General features: G+C 37.4%; 1 annotated feature.

The window, feature by feature from the left end:
• Window positions 12831–13031: a silencer, noted in NCBI's record as "peak3900 fragment used in MPRA reporter construct". NCBI's record gives its function as "represses an SCP1 promoter by STARR-seq MPRAs in K562 erythroleukemia cells {active_cell/tissue: K562}" and the evidence as "EXISTENCE:reporter gene assay evidence [ECO:0000049][PMID:32103011]".

The raw sequence follows: 17767 nt of genomic DNA on the forward strand, positions 1-17767 counted from the left end.
ATAGTTTATGAGCACTATTCAATATAAATGTATCCATGAGAAATAGTCCCATTGCTACTTTTTACCAGTGAATGAAAGCATTGTTTCAATGAATGCTTTTGGAACAGGTGAGCACTTTCAGATTGTGCTTTATTCATTCATTCATAAATTTTTTCAACAAATGATTTTATTACCATGTGTCAACACTGATGAAAAGTAGATAAAACTCACCGGTGTTTACCCTATGGACTCTCAGTTAATGGTGAGTTTGTTGAAGATGACAAGAAAATTAGTCATTATAATTTAAGCCTTGATGTGTAAAAAGTCAACAGGACTATCAGACACAGTCTCATTTTTACAAAGGTTTTTCAAAGAACTAGGTAAAAGAGAAGAAATTGCCTTGCAATAGATCTTACCATATATCTAAATAAAATGATAGTAGAATCAGACTTACCTGGGATATCTTCACATCTCTCCTGATGTACTACTTTGGTCTCCATTTTATCTGCACATCCAGTTTTCTCTGCCCCTCTCTCAGTGTCTTGTGTGTATCAAATGTCATTAAAGTTTAATAGAAAACAGATGACTCTTGCCCTGTTCTTTCAAAGGACAGTCACATGAACACCAGTACTCCAGAAGGATGAAACCACACCTTTTCTGAGCACATGGACTCAGGCCTGGGTAGAGGCCCAGGACCCAGAGCCAGTGAGGGATAGGCCCGTAGGAAGTCCAGCAGGAAGAAGAGGCTGAGGAGAGAAAGCCAGGATAATGAAGACCACTTCAAGGGCAACTGGAAGCTGGTAACAGGACATGCCCTAAGGCAGCAGGCCCCAACCTTTTTGGCACCAGGGCCTAGTTTCGTGGAAGACAATATTTCTACGGAGGCAGGGGAATGGTTTTGGGATGAAACTGTTCTACCTCGGATCATCAAGCATTAGGTTCTCATAGGGAGCACGCAACTACATCCCTTGCATGTGGAGTTCACCGTGGGGTTCATGCTCCTGTGAGAATCTGATGCTGCCACTGATCTGTCCATGGTCCAGGGGTTGGAGACCCCTGCCTTAAGGGATATTTCTTTTACCATGGATGAATTCATCACCTTCCAACATCAGCCACATCAGCTTCTCTCTTCTTAGCACCCTTGAGCAAGTCACAGTTATAGAGTGCACAGGCAGAAAAATCACACACACACAGGAGCATGAGTTACAGTTCTGAACTATTTTGAGTAATCAGAAAGTTACCTAAATATTATTTTTTTAAAAAATTAAGGTCAATTTAGCACTGAAATTCTTGACAGATTAAGAAAAAACTGTAACTTTGATAATGTCATGACTTTGGATATTAACTTGGATTATTTGACACGTATTTTATTACTTAGTTTAAATGTAGCAGGTCAAATCATATATTTAGAAATCCGTTAGCTATAAATAGTAAATACCCAATATAAAATAGTTTATAAGACAGGAGTTTTTCTAATCTTCTAATGCCAGCATTTATGATATAGTCTACTGCACAGGAATCTCCATTCAGTTTATAAAAAAAAAAGAAGAAAGAAAAGAAATATTTATGAGATTGATGCTCCCTACATTTTGTTCTATTAGAAACCAAGGCACAGAGAGCTTATAGATCATAGAGCATCATCTAGTTCAGTTGAATATTTAAGGAATTAGGCCTGAGTATGTCCACTCTGAACCGGGCAGTCCCCAGCATCTTCTTATCCTTTCTCCTTATCATCAGGGACAATTTCACTGTCAGGTAGCACATGGGATGTTTCTTTCAAAATTTTAAATGTATGCATAATTACATTGTTCTTTAGCCTTTCAGATATTTCATGAGAACCTAGCCAAAATTTTTGACTAACACATAGTTCTGAGCCAGCATCTAATTAGTATTATGTAAGCTATAATACAACTGAACTCAAACTAAAATATTTTTAAAACCAGAATACGTATCTTCCCAAAATGGTATCTGTTGGTATAACTGATATGCATATTTGGTAAAATTCATTCTTTATACCAGATGTATATTTATTTCAAAGTTAATGTATTTTAGGTCAACCTCTAAAATGTTTCTCTTAACTAGTTTGCTGTGTTCTAACCAAGGCATATTATTTAAATGACACTCTATTACTGCCTTTGTGTATGCAAGAGGAAGCCAGGAGAAAACAAAATCTTTGTAAAACTTAAAGGTATTCTGAATCAGCAGGGTCAGCACTTCATCAAAATAGAAATACGTACATGCATGCACACACAAGAAAAACAATTACTCCCATATCGCATTTTATCACACAACAAGATAGATAAATAAAACAATCTATTGGCAACTAAATAAAGAAGAGGCACAAAATAGCTTTTTATACTTCCCAGAAAAGTCACGAATCCTTTCATCTTGTTTCTCTTTCTTTTTCAACCACTGGTTCCTATCATCTGAGTAGTCCTCCCAAGGCTGGAAAGGGGGACAGGATAAAACAATTTTAGTTTCTTATTTTTTCATTTCTTAAGAGAATGCGTATGCCTGTCTTATTATGAAGCAATTAACACCAAGAGAAGTAATAATCCCTGTGATTTTGTGAGCACTTATTATATACCAGATATTGTCTTAGGCTCTCTCTTCTATCTCATTAGAATCTCCCCACAACCTTAAAAGGTAAATAGTACCATCTCTTTTTATGGATGGTCAAATTGAGTATCTGGAGCTAAGGAAATGTTGGAGGTAGACAGTTAATGAACTTGGGCCACCTGTCTGATCATACTCACCTCTCCACGTTGTAATCCTGACCATGATCTATGTACTTCTATTTAAAGGATGCAGGACATCAGGTCAGCATGTCACAATTTTGGGTTCAGTATATTTTCATATATTTATAAGGCATTCAAACAACAAGTAGGACAAGCATAAACAGAGGTGCCAAAAGAATTTCCATTTTCTGTTTCTGTTTTTCCTCTATCAGAAGCTGCTACTCTCCACAGTGTCAAGACACCTATAGGACTGTCACAATCATGTTCTCCAGGAGCCAGGACTCCTGCCTTTTCACCTCATACCTGCCAGAGAACACCTTCCCTGTCTTCACCTTCCTGGGATAGGGTATCTAGGCATTTTTTGCTACAATTTTTACACTCCCTTAAGGGTCTCCTCAGTTGCATGCACCACAGTTATCATGCTTGCAGCCTTTCTCAATCAGTTCAGAGAGATAAACAGTCCCTTTAGGAGCTAATTTTAGTAAGTATTTTCTCAATTCCCCCAAGGAGAGTGCATGGCTAATACCATTCTAGATGCAGGAGAGAAGATAATTGTATTATGTTCAATAGATACCGTAGAGCGCTAGAACCTAATTCCCTTTCAGAAGCCTATTGAGAAGCCTTGTAAAATGTCTTCTAGTTAGTTTGTGTCCCTCCCAGGAACATAACATTTTCATAACTTTCCAGAAAATATTTTGAGATATCTTTGGGTTTTATTTTCCACCCTTTATTTCTGTTTTCTTTTGCCTTACTCTTTATCAGGCACAGGGCCCTGTACCCATTGCCTTGGGAGACTCTTGTGATAAGATGTAAAAGAGAAGGAACCTAAGAGTCTCTAAATGAGCCTAACAGATGTATTATCTATGCCATGGAATCACCTCCAGCTAGTAAGGGCAGGCTGGAAAGGATTCCGTGATACAGATAACATGCCCAGGAGGTTGGGGTCAGGGATGAAGGCTGGGGGTCATAAAGCTTTCCCTGTCCCTCCCCAAGAGAAGGAAGTTATTCTTTTGGATCCTGAACTGGAGGGAGGAGAGCTGCTGGTTCTGACAGCAGAGGAGGTTTCCAGCCCAGACTCCCAACATTTTACCTGTGATCCAGAACAGAAAGAAATGGTAGCCTGGATAGGCAACAGGACTATTGGCGGTCTTGTAAAATATCCTGGCACCCCAAAAGTGATCCTGAAGCAAAAACATTCCTCAGATCCTGAAGAGGCTATGCAGGCCAGTAGAATGGACACCTCACCAATAACAGTTCTGTACCCCAAACCATTGACTCTACCACCTGCCTTCCCTACAGCAAACCCCAAGATATCTTTGCTAAGACACCATATAAGATGCCAGAACTCAAGCATAATGTTAGGAGGCAAGGATGAGCAAACAAAAGTAATGCATGCCTGGGTTTGTGCACCAAGATCATACCCATGTTGCTTCTCAAAACAGCCAAGAGTGTTAAAAGGTCAGACCTGCTTGTTTTCTCTTTTTACATATAATTAAATGATGATGTAGACAAGTAGTTTGCCACAGCTAGTAAGCAGCAGGCCTGGTACCTGAGGCTTTTAGCTTTAATTTGTATTCTGTCCACATTCTGAAAGATGGCTTCACTCTTTTAACGTTAAATTGAGCTCATCATGACTCAGACAATGCATAAAAAATATAGATATACAAATTAAAATCATATGAAATCCTATCTGATTAGTTATCCTTCCAGATATATCTCTATGCATTCTTAACTTATGAAAGTATGCATATACATATATACAAGTGAACTGGGTTCTCTAAATGTTTTAAACCTTGTTTTTCCCCTTCCACAAGGCATGAAGATCATTTTTTCATATCAATAAATAGAAATCTACATTATCATAAATAAATAAATAAATAAATAAATAAATGTGAAGATGCATAAAGGGTAACAGATACCTGGCCTGGTGGCTGTACATTTTTAATTTGGTTTCATAAATACTTACTGAGGACATTTTTTATGCCAGGCTTCATGCTAGATATTATGGAAAAAGATGAATAATACACAGATACTGCTCTTGAGATGTTCTCAGTTTAGCAGGTGAAGCAGACAGGTAAATATAATATTATAGCAGTGTAAGCCCTGAACATAATAGGTATACAAAATATAGCCTGTTAGATAATCTGCAGCTTCATTTGTACGGTACAACAGTCTCGTGTTTCTTTCTACTTCTCTAGTTCCTTTTACATGTACAACAATTTCAGTGTGGGTTTTGCATCCTCATTCCAATGGGAATTCCTGTCTCCTCCTTGAATATCTCTAAGTCAGCTTGTAATTTCCAATGACAATCAAATAAGTTACCTGCTAGGTATTTATAAAAATGATATGAATGAGTTCACCAAATGTATAAAATTCAAACAATAATCATGATGAAGAAACAATATCTTTCACAATTAAATAACTAGAACACTTCTACTAGCCATTTCATTTTTGCCAAATGACAAATCAGAATGTTAACATAAATTGCAAAATACATACCTTTAGAGCGTTATTTCAACATTTTGAAGGTCATCAATTCATAAAATTCTGCTTTATGTGATCCAAAAGAGTAACACTGGTGAAACATTGTTTTTGATTAAAACTTCTGTCCAGTAGGTCAAGAAGTAGCAGATCTATGATATTGATCTATGATGTTTGTATATTCAGATGTATTTTACAGTCTATTCATGCATGTTAACATTTACTCAGCATGCACAATGTCTTGTTATATTTGAAGACAAAATTTATACACATATTATGACCTAAAAATACTTGCAGAACAGAATTTTATTAAGCACTATTTAAATTCATACAAAGAAAATACATACCAACTCATTTATGCACTGAGGATATGCAAATATACTGTTTAGTTTACATTAGGTTAATTGGGAAAAGACTTCTGGAGGAAATGAATTGCCAGTTGCATTTTGAAATAGTTTATAGATACAGGCAAAGAAGAAAAATCATACAGAGGGATGGAGTTGAAGATATGCAATTTGTGGCAAATTGGGTGGGTAGACTTCTAAGAAGTCTCCAGCCATTCTTTTATTCAATAGACATACACTGCACATAGTTTACACAAGAACAGTGTTAGGTCCTGAGGATACAAAGCCAGGTAATATAGCATTCTTGCCTGCAAGCTCATAGATTCGTGCAGGAGATGGGCATAAATAAAGATAGGATAAGTAAAAAAAAAAAAAAATTATGACACAGTAAGATAAATAAATTTCATTCATTTTCCTGGAGGCATAGGATACAAGTAGAGAACAGAGAAGTGAAATTTTAAAAGTGGTATTTGGAGTGCCCAGTAAGGATCAGCTAATAGTAACAGATATTATCTTTTTCCTTCCTTATTCAGTAAGCTTTTCCAAAAACAGGTCTGCATTTGAGGCCAGGCACGGTGGCTCATGCCTGTAATTCTAGCACTTTGGGAGGCCGAGGTGGGCAGATTGCCTGAGCTCAGGAGTTCAAGACCAGCCTGGGCAACACGGTGAAACCCTGTCTCTACTAAAAATACAAAAAATCAGCCGGGTATGGTAGCATGTGCCTGTAGTCCCAGCTACTCGGGAGGCCAAGGCAGGAGAATTGCTTGAACCTGGGAGGCAGAGCTTGGAGTGAGCCGAGATCATGCCACTGAACTCCAGCCTGGGTGACAGAGCGAGACTCTGTCTCCAAAAAAAAAAAGGTTTGCAGTTGCTGCCTCAATAACACTCATACTTTCATTCCTTGCAACCTAGCTTCCATGCCTCCAGCTCTTGCTCTACATAATTAAAGTCTTCAATGACTCCTCAGTTGCCTAATCCATGGGTCTTTGCTCAGCTGCCATTATCTGACAGATACCTCTGCCATTCTCTGTTACACCTCTTCAACATTTACCTTTTCTCCAAAACACTTTCTCTCCATGCTCTCCTGTCACCTCTGAGAACATCTGAGTTTCTTCTTACTCTGCTTCCATTTCCATTTCCTAAATGGAGGCTTTCTCAAGTCTGCACTCAATCATCTTCTGGAGACTTGATCACCTCAACGAGAGGGTTAACAACAAACCAAGAGTCAGCATGCTGACCCCCTGCTACACTCTACCCCATTGTTTCTGTAGACAGAATATCTGACACTAGAATCATAAGACCTTTGTGTTTAAGAATTCCTTAAGGAGTTTTTGAGATCCTGAATTCCAGCAGAATGGCTGACACCAACCAGCCTGAAGACCCCTACCAAGGAACCGTCTCACTGACTCAGCACAAAAATGAGGTTTCTTCACCTCTCTGTCCCCCCAACTTCAACCCTCACTTCTCAACCAATCAGCAATCCCCACACTTCAGCCCTTGTCCAGAAACAATAATTAATTGATCATCATTAATATCCATTGCCATGCCCCGTTTTCTTAAAATATTGGCTATTCAACACTCTCCATACTAAAATCTGATTTTCCTAAAAACATTTTGTCATCATATTGGATCCTTTAACTTAAAAAATTATAATTTTTTATTTTACAACAATGAACTGAATGTAATAAGTAAATAAAGTATATCTATTCTGCCTTGAATTATTTCTCATTGTTGTATAAGAAATTCTGTTGATTCAAGTTTATCCAGCTCTCCCCAAGTCAACAATCATAATATCACCTGAGTTTCCACATTAGGTTTTAATCAACTGTTCAAAACATATACAGGATTCAAAGAATAAGACATTGAAGGAAACCCCAAATAATTATTATTTCTCAAAACTTACTTGTGTCAATCACAAAATTTATTTTGTCCTTTATATCTTAAGTATCTCATTGTGCTTTTGATTTCAAAAAATATCGTTATTGCAAATATTAAGTCTCAAACTGGGTGAGGAAATAATCTGTGCAACAAACTCCCATGACACGAGTTTACCTGTATAACAAACCTGCATATGTACCCCTGAACTTAAAGTTAAAAAAAAAGAAAAGGAAATGCTAGTCAACTAAGGAAAACAGAAAATAGTCAATAGCTACTTATTAAGCACCTACTATGTGCCTACACCCAACTGGGCACCAAAATTGTAATATGAAGGAAAATCCTAGCCTTGAAAAACCTACTGACAATATGACTTCAATGTCAGAAGTGCTAAAATGAAGGTGGTATGTGCAAAAACAGAGGAAGAGCAATTTTCATTTTGATTGTATGGTTTAAGCCAAATTTTATCAAAGTGCTGCTCAAGAAACACTAGTATAAGAACCACCACGATTGTTAAAAATGTATATTTTGATTGAGAACCTCACAGAGAGGGGCACCAAAATATATACTTTTAACAAAATACCTAGACAAGTGGTTTTTAAACTTTTTGAACATGATCAATAGTAAGAAAATAAAACCATTTTACTTTGCAACCCAAAATACACCTATATAACTGAAATCACAGAAAGTTCTACACAAAAAGTTTTAGCTTTTACTATCAAAGGAGTACTATGATATTTTCTTTCTTTCTTTTTTTTTTTTGTTTGTTTGTTTGTTTGTTAATTGCTGTTTGGGCCTTAACCTAAATCAACTTCTTGATTCATTAAATGGGCAGAAACTGGTGATTCTTATACAAGCTCAAATTTTAGAATCTGTGGTTTAAGAACTTACATGGATTTCAGAATCAGAAACTTGAGAACTTAAAATCTACTATTGTCCCTTAGTAGCTGTGGAGCAATAGAAAATATATTACATTTCTTTCTACCTTATTTCTTCCAAATGTAAAATTGAAATAATAATACCTATCGTACAATATGTTTAGTGGGAGATCATCAGTAAAATCACTTATCATGGGGTTAGACATAGAATAAGCATCTAGCAACTTTCATGGCATAATCACAGAATTGACCTATGGACTAGAAAAAAAAAACAGGCAGCACGACTGGAGGAAGATGCCAGAGAAGAAAGAAATGTTCCCTCCGAATGTCACAAGAAGGTGCAGTCATCCAAAACTCTGTCCGCAGAAGGGCGTAGGTAAAATGAATAGAGCCAGCAGAATGCTCTAAAACTAGCTGTACCTTGAGTCAGGCTGTTGGGTTTTTTTTCCCTGACATACGCTGATCCATGATTCCATTTCTGGATGGAAACATGGAACCATAGATCTAGAATGAAGTGCTTGTTTAAAATGAACTGCTGTCTTAACCAGTGGAAAATAGAGCGGGATGATGTGTATTCTCAAACCATGTTAGTAGATTTTGAAACTAAGTGTAGCTAGATTTCCAGTGACACTTCAACTTTTTGGAAGAAAGAGAAGAGGTGTACGGTACAGGACACAGAATAGGAACACCCAGGAGATAACTACAAAAATGAAAAGTGAACCTGCCATATATTTATATATTAGGCCTTATCTCACAAAATAAAATTTTTAAGTAGATAGTGCAATTCTCACTGAATTGTTTTCTTATGTCCATAATCAGATTATATTCAAAGGGATACTTTAAAATAAAACGTAAATAATCACACATACCATGGACACTGGATACCAAGATAGAAGAGAGACGCTGCAGGTCTATACGGTACCTGGTTAAGCAATGTCAAGAAGGTGGCAACCCTAAGAGTCTGAGACCAAAGCACTTCCTGCTCTTCCTGATTGAGATACTCTCAAAGTAATGTTCAAGTTTTGCCCTGAAAATTCGATTTTTTGATTCCATGTTTCTAAGAAAATTCCATGTTTGATTTCATGTTTCTAGGAAAATTTCATGTTTGATCCCATCTTTCTAGGAAAAGTATCAATCCTCCTCAATAGGGACCTTTTTATCTCAAAAGTCTAAAGATAATTTTTGCATTCAATCTGGAACACTGTAGACCAAGTCCAAAATCTTTAGTCTAATTCTAAAACAGATGAGCATCTGTTCACATGAAAATTAAATAATGGCCCTTGATACAGTCTTTTAAAGCAGTGTAGATTGACAACAGATTCTAGTTCAACAATTTGTATGTAATAGCATGACAATAAAACCATATATAGGAATATGGAAATGTTCAAGTCCTTTAAAGCAGCAAACAGGCATATGCTTATATAGTATATGTCATTTTTTTAAAAAATCACAGAACTAAGCAAAACATTTGTTTTCCTTTTTCCTTAGTATTCATTTTTTTCCTAGCCAGATATGCAGTATTATTTTTATACTATACTATTTTTATCCTAGCTATAGGGTATTATTTTTTATTTATTATTTTTCCTAGTCAGATATAGAGTAAATTATATAATTTGTGTAAAGCTTTGCCTTTTATGACAGATTGAGAAATACATAATAAACTACATAGACGCTGTGCTATGCACAGAAGACATTCTAGACTCTGAAGAGTAACAAAACATATCTCACCATGTCTTCTAACCCAAGCTCAAAGACTTGTGCTTTGCTATAACAAACCACAAACAAACTCAGCAATATAAGGAGTAATAATACAAGTTACTAAGCAAGACAACTTTACACTGTTATAATAAGGTAGAAATTTGTGATGTGTAATGGTTCTGAAGGCTGGTGATGCCTGCAGTTTGTCCCAAGGTGTCTGATACTCCAAGTATTTTCAAAGGCATCAACAGTATCCACCTAGATTCCCACCTGCCACTTCAGTATTTTGCGATCGATCCTTGGAATGTATGAAGGAATTTCACACCATGAAAACAACAATTGTTTGGACATATGGTTACTCTCTCAGAAAACACAAACTAAAAATTCAGGATAAACTTCAATGAGAAGATTTAAAGCAGCAGGCATTCATTCAAGTGTAGCTTTTTTATAAAACTTTTTTTTGTAATGGCTTTATATTGTTTGAGCAGACCTCATTTGAGGCAAGAAAACAATAATGAGGCTTTTCTCATGATTATTGCATGTCCTATTGCTGACTTTATTTATTAATATAGGTCATTTCTTTCATCTGAATAAGCTGTCTTATCCTATCCTAGAAAGCCATATTTCTTGATTCACATTTTAAAAAGAAAATAGGATTGTTTCCCTATTTATAGGATTTAATTAATATCAATTTATTTAATTTTCTTGAGCACCTTATATTGTCAAAAATTATATTCAGTAAAGGTAGGTGAAATAATAACTGAAATGATCCTTCCTCCATTCAGCACTCAGTGGGAGAGACCTATAGAAAAGCGGAAAGAAACTCTGCTATGTGGTACAATCAATGCAAAGGTAAAGGAGAACAGAGGGTTTCATCATGCACAGAAGAGGCACAGCAATCTCATTGCCAGATATATACCCAAAGGAATATAAATCATTCTACCATAAAGATACATGCACATGGATGTTCATTGCAGTACTATTATTCACAATAGCTAAGACATGAAATCAACCTAGATGCCCATGAAAAGTGGACTGGATAAAGGAAATGTGATATATATATACACCATGGAGTACCATGCAGCCATACAAAAGAATAAGATCATGGCCTTTGCAGCGACATGAGATGGAGCTGGAAGCCATTATCCTGAGCAAATTAATGCAGGAACAGCAAACCAAATACTGCACATTCTCACTTATAAGTGGCAGCTAAACATTGAGTACACATGAACATAAAGAAGGGAACAATAGGCATTGGGGCCTATTTTAGGGTGGAAGGTGGGAGAAGGGTATTGAAAAACTACCTATCAGGTATTATGCTGATTATCTGGATGACAAAATTATGTGTATATCAAATCCCCATGACATGCAATTCACTCATGTAACAAACCTGCATATGTACCCTTTGAACCTAAAATAAAAGTTGGAAAGAAAAAAAATGAATTAGGATAAACTTATTAAAAAAAAAAAGTCTGGCTCCCTGAGATCAGTGTTAAAGGACATGAAGGATTTAACTGCCTGAGAAGAGAAAATGAGCTTTCTAGGCAGGGAGGAGCAAGTGCAAAGCCTAAGATCGTATGTGAAAGTGTGGGCCTTGGTGTCATAGAGGGGTGGTGATAAGCCTTTGAGGAAGTTTTGAGTCTCAGCCCAAAACACTGTTTCTCAAATTGCATGAGAACTGTTTGGACATGTTTCTCAATACACACACCCATGGACACTCATGTGCTTTCAGAACTGATCTACAATGGTGATGATTCCTCCATGGGTATTAAGATCACTGGGGGAAATTTAAAAAAAAATTACCTTTCCTGAGTCCTGCCTTCAAAGATTTTGACTCAGTTGTTCTGTGGTGGATCAGAGCATGATATCACCCCAGATAATTCTAATGTTTAGCCAGGGTCAAGAATCAAGAAGGGGGCAATTGCACATTCACAAGCTGCCAGGTGATTCAGATGCTCATTACCAGTCTAGAATTGCTGCTCTGAGGCTCAGCACAATGCAAGCTAAACACTATTCACCAAAGCAGTTGTCCTCAAAGTGTGATTCCCAGACTAGTAGCATCAGCACAACCTGGTGACTTAGTCTGTTTGAGCTGTTACAACGAAAATACCATAGGTGGTTTATATACAATAGAAATGTATTTCTTAACAGTTCTAGAGGCTGGGAAGTCCAAGATAGTCACCAGCAGATTTCACGTCTGGTGAGGACCCGTTTTTTAATTCATAGGTGACGCCTTCTTGCTGTGTCCTCGCACACTACAAGGAGCAAATAAGCTCCCTCTGGCCTCTTTTATAAGGGCACTAACCCCATTTACGAGGGCAGAGCCCTGATCAACTCCTAAGAACTCCACCTCTTAACACTATTACCCTGGGGATGTGGCTTCAACATATGTATTTTGGGAGGACACCAATGTTCAGACTATAGCACCTAGGTATTTGTTAAAAATATCAACTCTTCAGTCCCACCCTAGACTCCAGACTCACTGGATCAGAAACATGAGGGGTCAAGTCCAGCAACCTATCCTCTAGCAAGTCCTCCAGGTGATTCTGATGTAATTAACTTTGAAAACCTATGCACTAAAGAGAAACTGTTGCAGTGTGTGTATAAGTGGATGTGTTTGTGTATTGGGTGGCAGGGGAAGGGAGGGAAGGCGATGCACAAACCTATCTCCTTGAGTTGCTAAATAAGGGGCAACGTTTTTATAATTTGTCTCTCTTGGCATGAGGCACATTTCTACATAAATTGCAGAGCAAGAAAAATAAAACAGGTGATACTTTTAACTTTCCTTTTTCTGGTATGTGACTCTCTTCTGGCCATCTCATCTTCCTAGAGCAGCTATAGCTTGATTGTTATTTAACAAGTGCCAGAAAACAAAGACTAAAATATAAACACTTTATAATATAAACTCTTAAGGAAACCCTAGGCATATGTGTTCCACATTCTGTTTCAAAATGCATTAGATTTGGCACATCACATTTCCTCTCCCTAAGTTTTTGTTTTAAATTAGTCTTGCTTTACAAAGAGGCAGGGAAGGGGTGTCGGATATTGTTGAGATAGAGGTTGCTAAGAGCCGCACTTATGGTTGACAATGTAGGTGTCCTAAAAAGTCTTCATTTCTGTCTGTTTTTAGAATATTACATCCTTAGCAAAGGACAAAAATGGCTAATTAAGTTTTAGTGAGAAGTACCTCCGTGTTGTGATAGTTTCAGTTATTTCTGGCTTTGGGTTGCTTTTCTTCTCTAGGGAGGGCTGCATGAGCTTTGGGAAGAGCATGGGCTCTGGAGTTATACAGACATGGATTCTAGTCCAGGCACTCTAGCTTATGTCTCCGGGAAATTGGTCAAGTTATGCAATATTCCTGAACCTCCATTTCCTTTAGATGTAAACTAAGGATAATGATTCTTCCTTTAAATGATTATATTGTTAGCGGCAGATAAGACAAAGTGTATGTCCCATTGGAGATGCTCAGTTATATTAGTTCTTTTCCCCTTTCTCTTCCTTGCCACCTTTTAACCATGATGCCAGGAAGAGTTCTCTAGATTGGGTCTGAAATACTCTGAATCCTTCTTCTCTTACCAGTGATAATCTTGGTATAAGAAAAAGCACTGGGCCAGGCACAGTGGCTTGTGCTTGTAATCCCAGCACTTTGGAAGGCTGAGGCAGGCAAACTCCTGAGGTCAGGAGTTTGAGACCAGCCTGACCAACATGGTAAAACCCTGTCTCTACTAAAAATACAAAAAAATTAGCCAGGCATGGTGGCATGCACCTGTAGTCCCAACTACTCAGGAGGCTGAGGTGGGAGAATTGCTTGAACTCAGGAGGCAGACGTCGCAGTGAGCCGAGATTGCACCACTGCACTCCAGGCTGGGCAACAGAGCGAGACTATGTCTCCAAAACTAAAAAAGAAAAAGGATTGCAGTGGGTGGGTTATCTCGTGAGGACATGGACTAATAAACTCTATCTACAATAAGGAAAAATATGTAAAGATACAGCATTGCTGTAATTACAATCAACTGTAAACGTTAATTCTGTTAATTCAGTCCAGAAGCCAATAAATATTGGACACAGCTCTGAACTTAGCTCTTAACTTTTTTGTTTGAGCATCCAAAATACTTTTAGAACAGATTTCAAGGCTCAACACAGGTACACCATTCCCTTAATACATAGAAAACTTCAAGAAAATAATCCAGAATGGTGCAGCTAGCTCCAACATTAGTCACATTTAGACCCAGCCCTTGTTATAAATATATATTTGGAAATTGCACACATGATTCTCTCATTGATAATACTTCCCAAAATAAACCTAATGGTAACATAGGGCCACAGCCTGACACCCATTGGGCTGATGTATTTCAGAATGCAGAATTTTTCTAATTTTATGGAGGTAATACCGCCCATTTACCTTGTATTAAGTAACACCCCAGTAGGTCTGGGAAGCATTCATGTTCAAACATATTAATATTTCCACCACTTAATATGTAAACATTCATATGAATGAGATAAAGGCCAAAAGAGCCTCACATTTAATTTATGCCATAAAATAAGCTCAAATCAAGTTTCAAAACCAAATGAGAAAACTTAAGAGTTTTCAGAATTTTTGACTTTCAGAATTATAAGTAAACTATTGAAGACACACAACATATCTTCCCTTAGGGAGTTTTAAATCCTATTAAGTTACTATAACCAAAAATTTACACATCTCATGGGCAAGATCCAAATTGCATTTAAAGCCACTTGTTCAATTATAAAAGGGCATATATTATTTCCAGTCACGCCATTGTACTTTGAACACGTAAGGGATGACTTTTAGTTCATGATGATGATTTTAAAGGTATTGAAGGAAAAAGTCTTCAAGTGAGAATAAAAGTTGGTTTGCCAAATTATTTTTAAAACATTTTACAGATTTGAAAGGGAAAATTTGAGAAAATTTATTTTTTTGGAAATTAAGGAAAATAAGACTTTTTAAAAAATCATTGACATTTTAGGTCCTAAAAACTACAGCGAGTAATGGGTGAGCTTAATTCCTAGAGCATTCGCTCCTCTGTTTTAGATGGCATTAAAAGCAGGGACATTCCTATAGGACCTGCCAGGGCCCTTCAGCACTAGCATACCCTGCTGGGGAGTGCGGCAGGTAAATGGAGGAATAGATGCAAAGGTTTCATGTGGCAAAAACAAAAAGGAACAGTGTGGCCAGGTGCAGTGGCTCACACCTGTAATCCCAGCACTTTGGGAGGCTGAGGCAGGCAGATCATGCCTGAGGTCAGGAGTTTGAGACCAGCCTGGCCAACATGGTGAAACCCATCTCTACTAAAAATACAAAAATTAGCCAGGTGTGGTGGCATGTGCCTGTAATCCCAGCTACTCGGGAGGCGGAGGCAGAAGAATCACTTGAACCTGGGAGGCGGAGATTGCAGTGAGCCGAGATCATGCCACTGCACTACAGCCTGGGTGACAGAGTGAGACTCTGTCTCAAAAAAAAAAAAAAAACACAACAGTGTGGTAGAATTTCCTGAGTATTATGATGAAAAATACTGTGGCCTGATATATTTTGGTCTTTCCCAAATATGTCTATGCTCAAAGCATCTTTGAATGTGATATTTTGTAGGGATCTCATAGGCTTTATTCACTCAATCAATCACTATTTACTGAGATACTACTTATGTGCCAGAAAGAGTACTAGGCCCTTGAGATACAATGGTGAATAGAAAGCCTTTGTTCTATTCATAATGCAGTGGAGAGATATAAGCAGTTTCTGAGGAAAATAATTTAGGTTAGGCAGATGAAAAACATCAGGCTTCCGATCCCACAGTCATCACATTTTCTTAACTTGCTTTGTGCCTTCAGATAATTTGGCATTCCTACCTTTGGATTAGGTAAGAACAGAATGCAGTTCATAAAAATAACTACAATTAATTGAGCATTTTGTATCAGGCCTTTCACTAAGCCCAGTTATGTAACTATCTCATTTTATTCTCACAACAACTGTATTAGAAGTACAATTATTATTATTATTTTACAAATAAGTAAAACAAAGATTAGAGAGGACAAAGAATCCTTTCTAGCTCCCACCACTAAGTACAGGTCCAAAATTTCTGTATTCCCAAATCTGAAAAGCTCTGAAAACAAAATATGTTTTTCATAATTGTTTAGCATCAAATCTTGCCCTAAACAGTCTTTATATTGCTCTCTTAGGGAAAAAAGTTCCTACATTCATATACTTCTCTACAGCAATAGTCATATGCTTGATTAAGGAGTACTTCCTTAGACCCTGCTGGGGATATTATGTAATACATAATAATGCATTGTATTTCCTTTCTAAAATAAGAATAATTCTAATTTATGACACATCCAAGAATTTTAGATAAGAGATATAGAACTCTGGTTTATTTATCTCCAGGCTATCCTTACCAGATAGTTCTCAAAAACCTCTTTTAACAAGTCTATAGTACTTAGGGTGGCCATATAATTTATCATCGAAACATTTCAGATGCATTACTAATAATTACTCAGGGACAGAGGGCATAAATTGGGATCATTCTGGGCAAAAAAGGATGTATGGCCCACCATAGTTTGGTGACCATGTGGCCTGAGGAAGAGTGAATGCCCAGTAATTGATGAAGTGTTTATATCTGAGTTAGATGGAATTTGCCTGCTAAAGTAATGTAAGCATAGCAACTATAAGCTTTTAAGAGTTTTAGAAAGACTTTAAGAGGGGTAATGGCTCTTGGCTTTGAGAAAAACTCCCTCTGACCCAGTGTGGAAGGACCATGGGTATGAAACTAAGGACAGCTATAAGTAAAAAGGTTATCTTAACAATTAGGCAAAACCTGATGAAGACTGAAAATAATACATTATTAGCACAGTCTACACTCAAGGGAAGGAATCATTTGAATTGCAGATGGATGACCAATTGGATATGGGCAATAAAGGAGAGAGGGGAGTCTAGGAAAATTCCCAGACACTTGGCCCAGACACTTGGAAAATGATTTGCTGAGATAGAGAACTCAGATAGCCACTTTTGGGAAAATAGCCTGAGATCTTCAATTTAGTGTGTCTGGGATACTTCAAACTCTACTAGCAGAAAAATTTACATGAAATTAGGTAATAAGGAGTATTTCTTTCTACCACTCCATCCCTTGTCCCAAATGGACTGACACAGTACTTTAAACATGGTAGATGCCAAATAAAGATTTTTGTCTGTTGCCTGTAAGGATTCTTGAGGTATTGACTGCTAATCTGCAGTATAATTATCCCTAGTCAAGGATTATTCACTGTATTAGTTAGGGTTCTCTGGAGAGACAGAATTAATAGGATAGATATATAAATATATATAAAGGGGAGTTCATTAAGTATTAACTCACATGATCACAAGTTCCCACAATAGGCTGTCTGAAAGCTTGAGGAGCAAGGAGAGTCAGTCTGAGTCTCAAAACAGAAGAACTTGGAGTCTGATGTTTGAGGGCAGAAGGTATCCAGGATGGGAGAAAGATGTAGGCTGGGAGGCTAGGCCAGTCTCTGCTTTTCACATTTTTCTGCCTGCTTTATATTTGCTGGCGCTAATTAGATTGTGCCCACCAGATTAGGGTGCATCTGCCTTCCCCAGCCCACTGGCTCAAATGTTAATCTCCTTTGGAAATACCCTCACAGACACACCCAGGATCAGTAGTTTGCATCCTTCAATCCAGTCAAGTTGACAGTCAGTATTAACCATCACAAGTCTACCCCTTGTCAACTTGAACCCACACACACCTCCTCAGATCATATATAATCTTCA

Source organism: Homo sapiens, chromosome 2 (assembly GCF_000001405.40).
Source record: "Homo sapiens chromosome 2, GRCh38.p14 Primary Assembly".
Classification (NCBI taxonomy): Eukaryota; Metazoa; Chordata; class Mammalia; order Primates; family Hominidae; genus Homo; species Homo sapiens.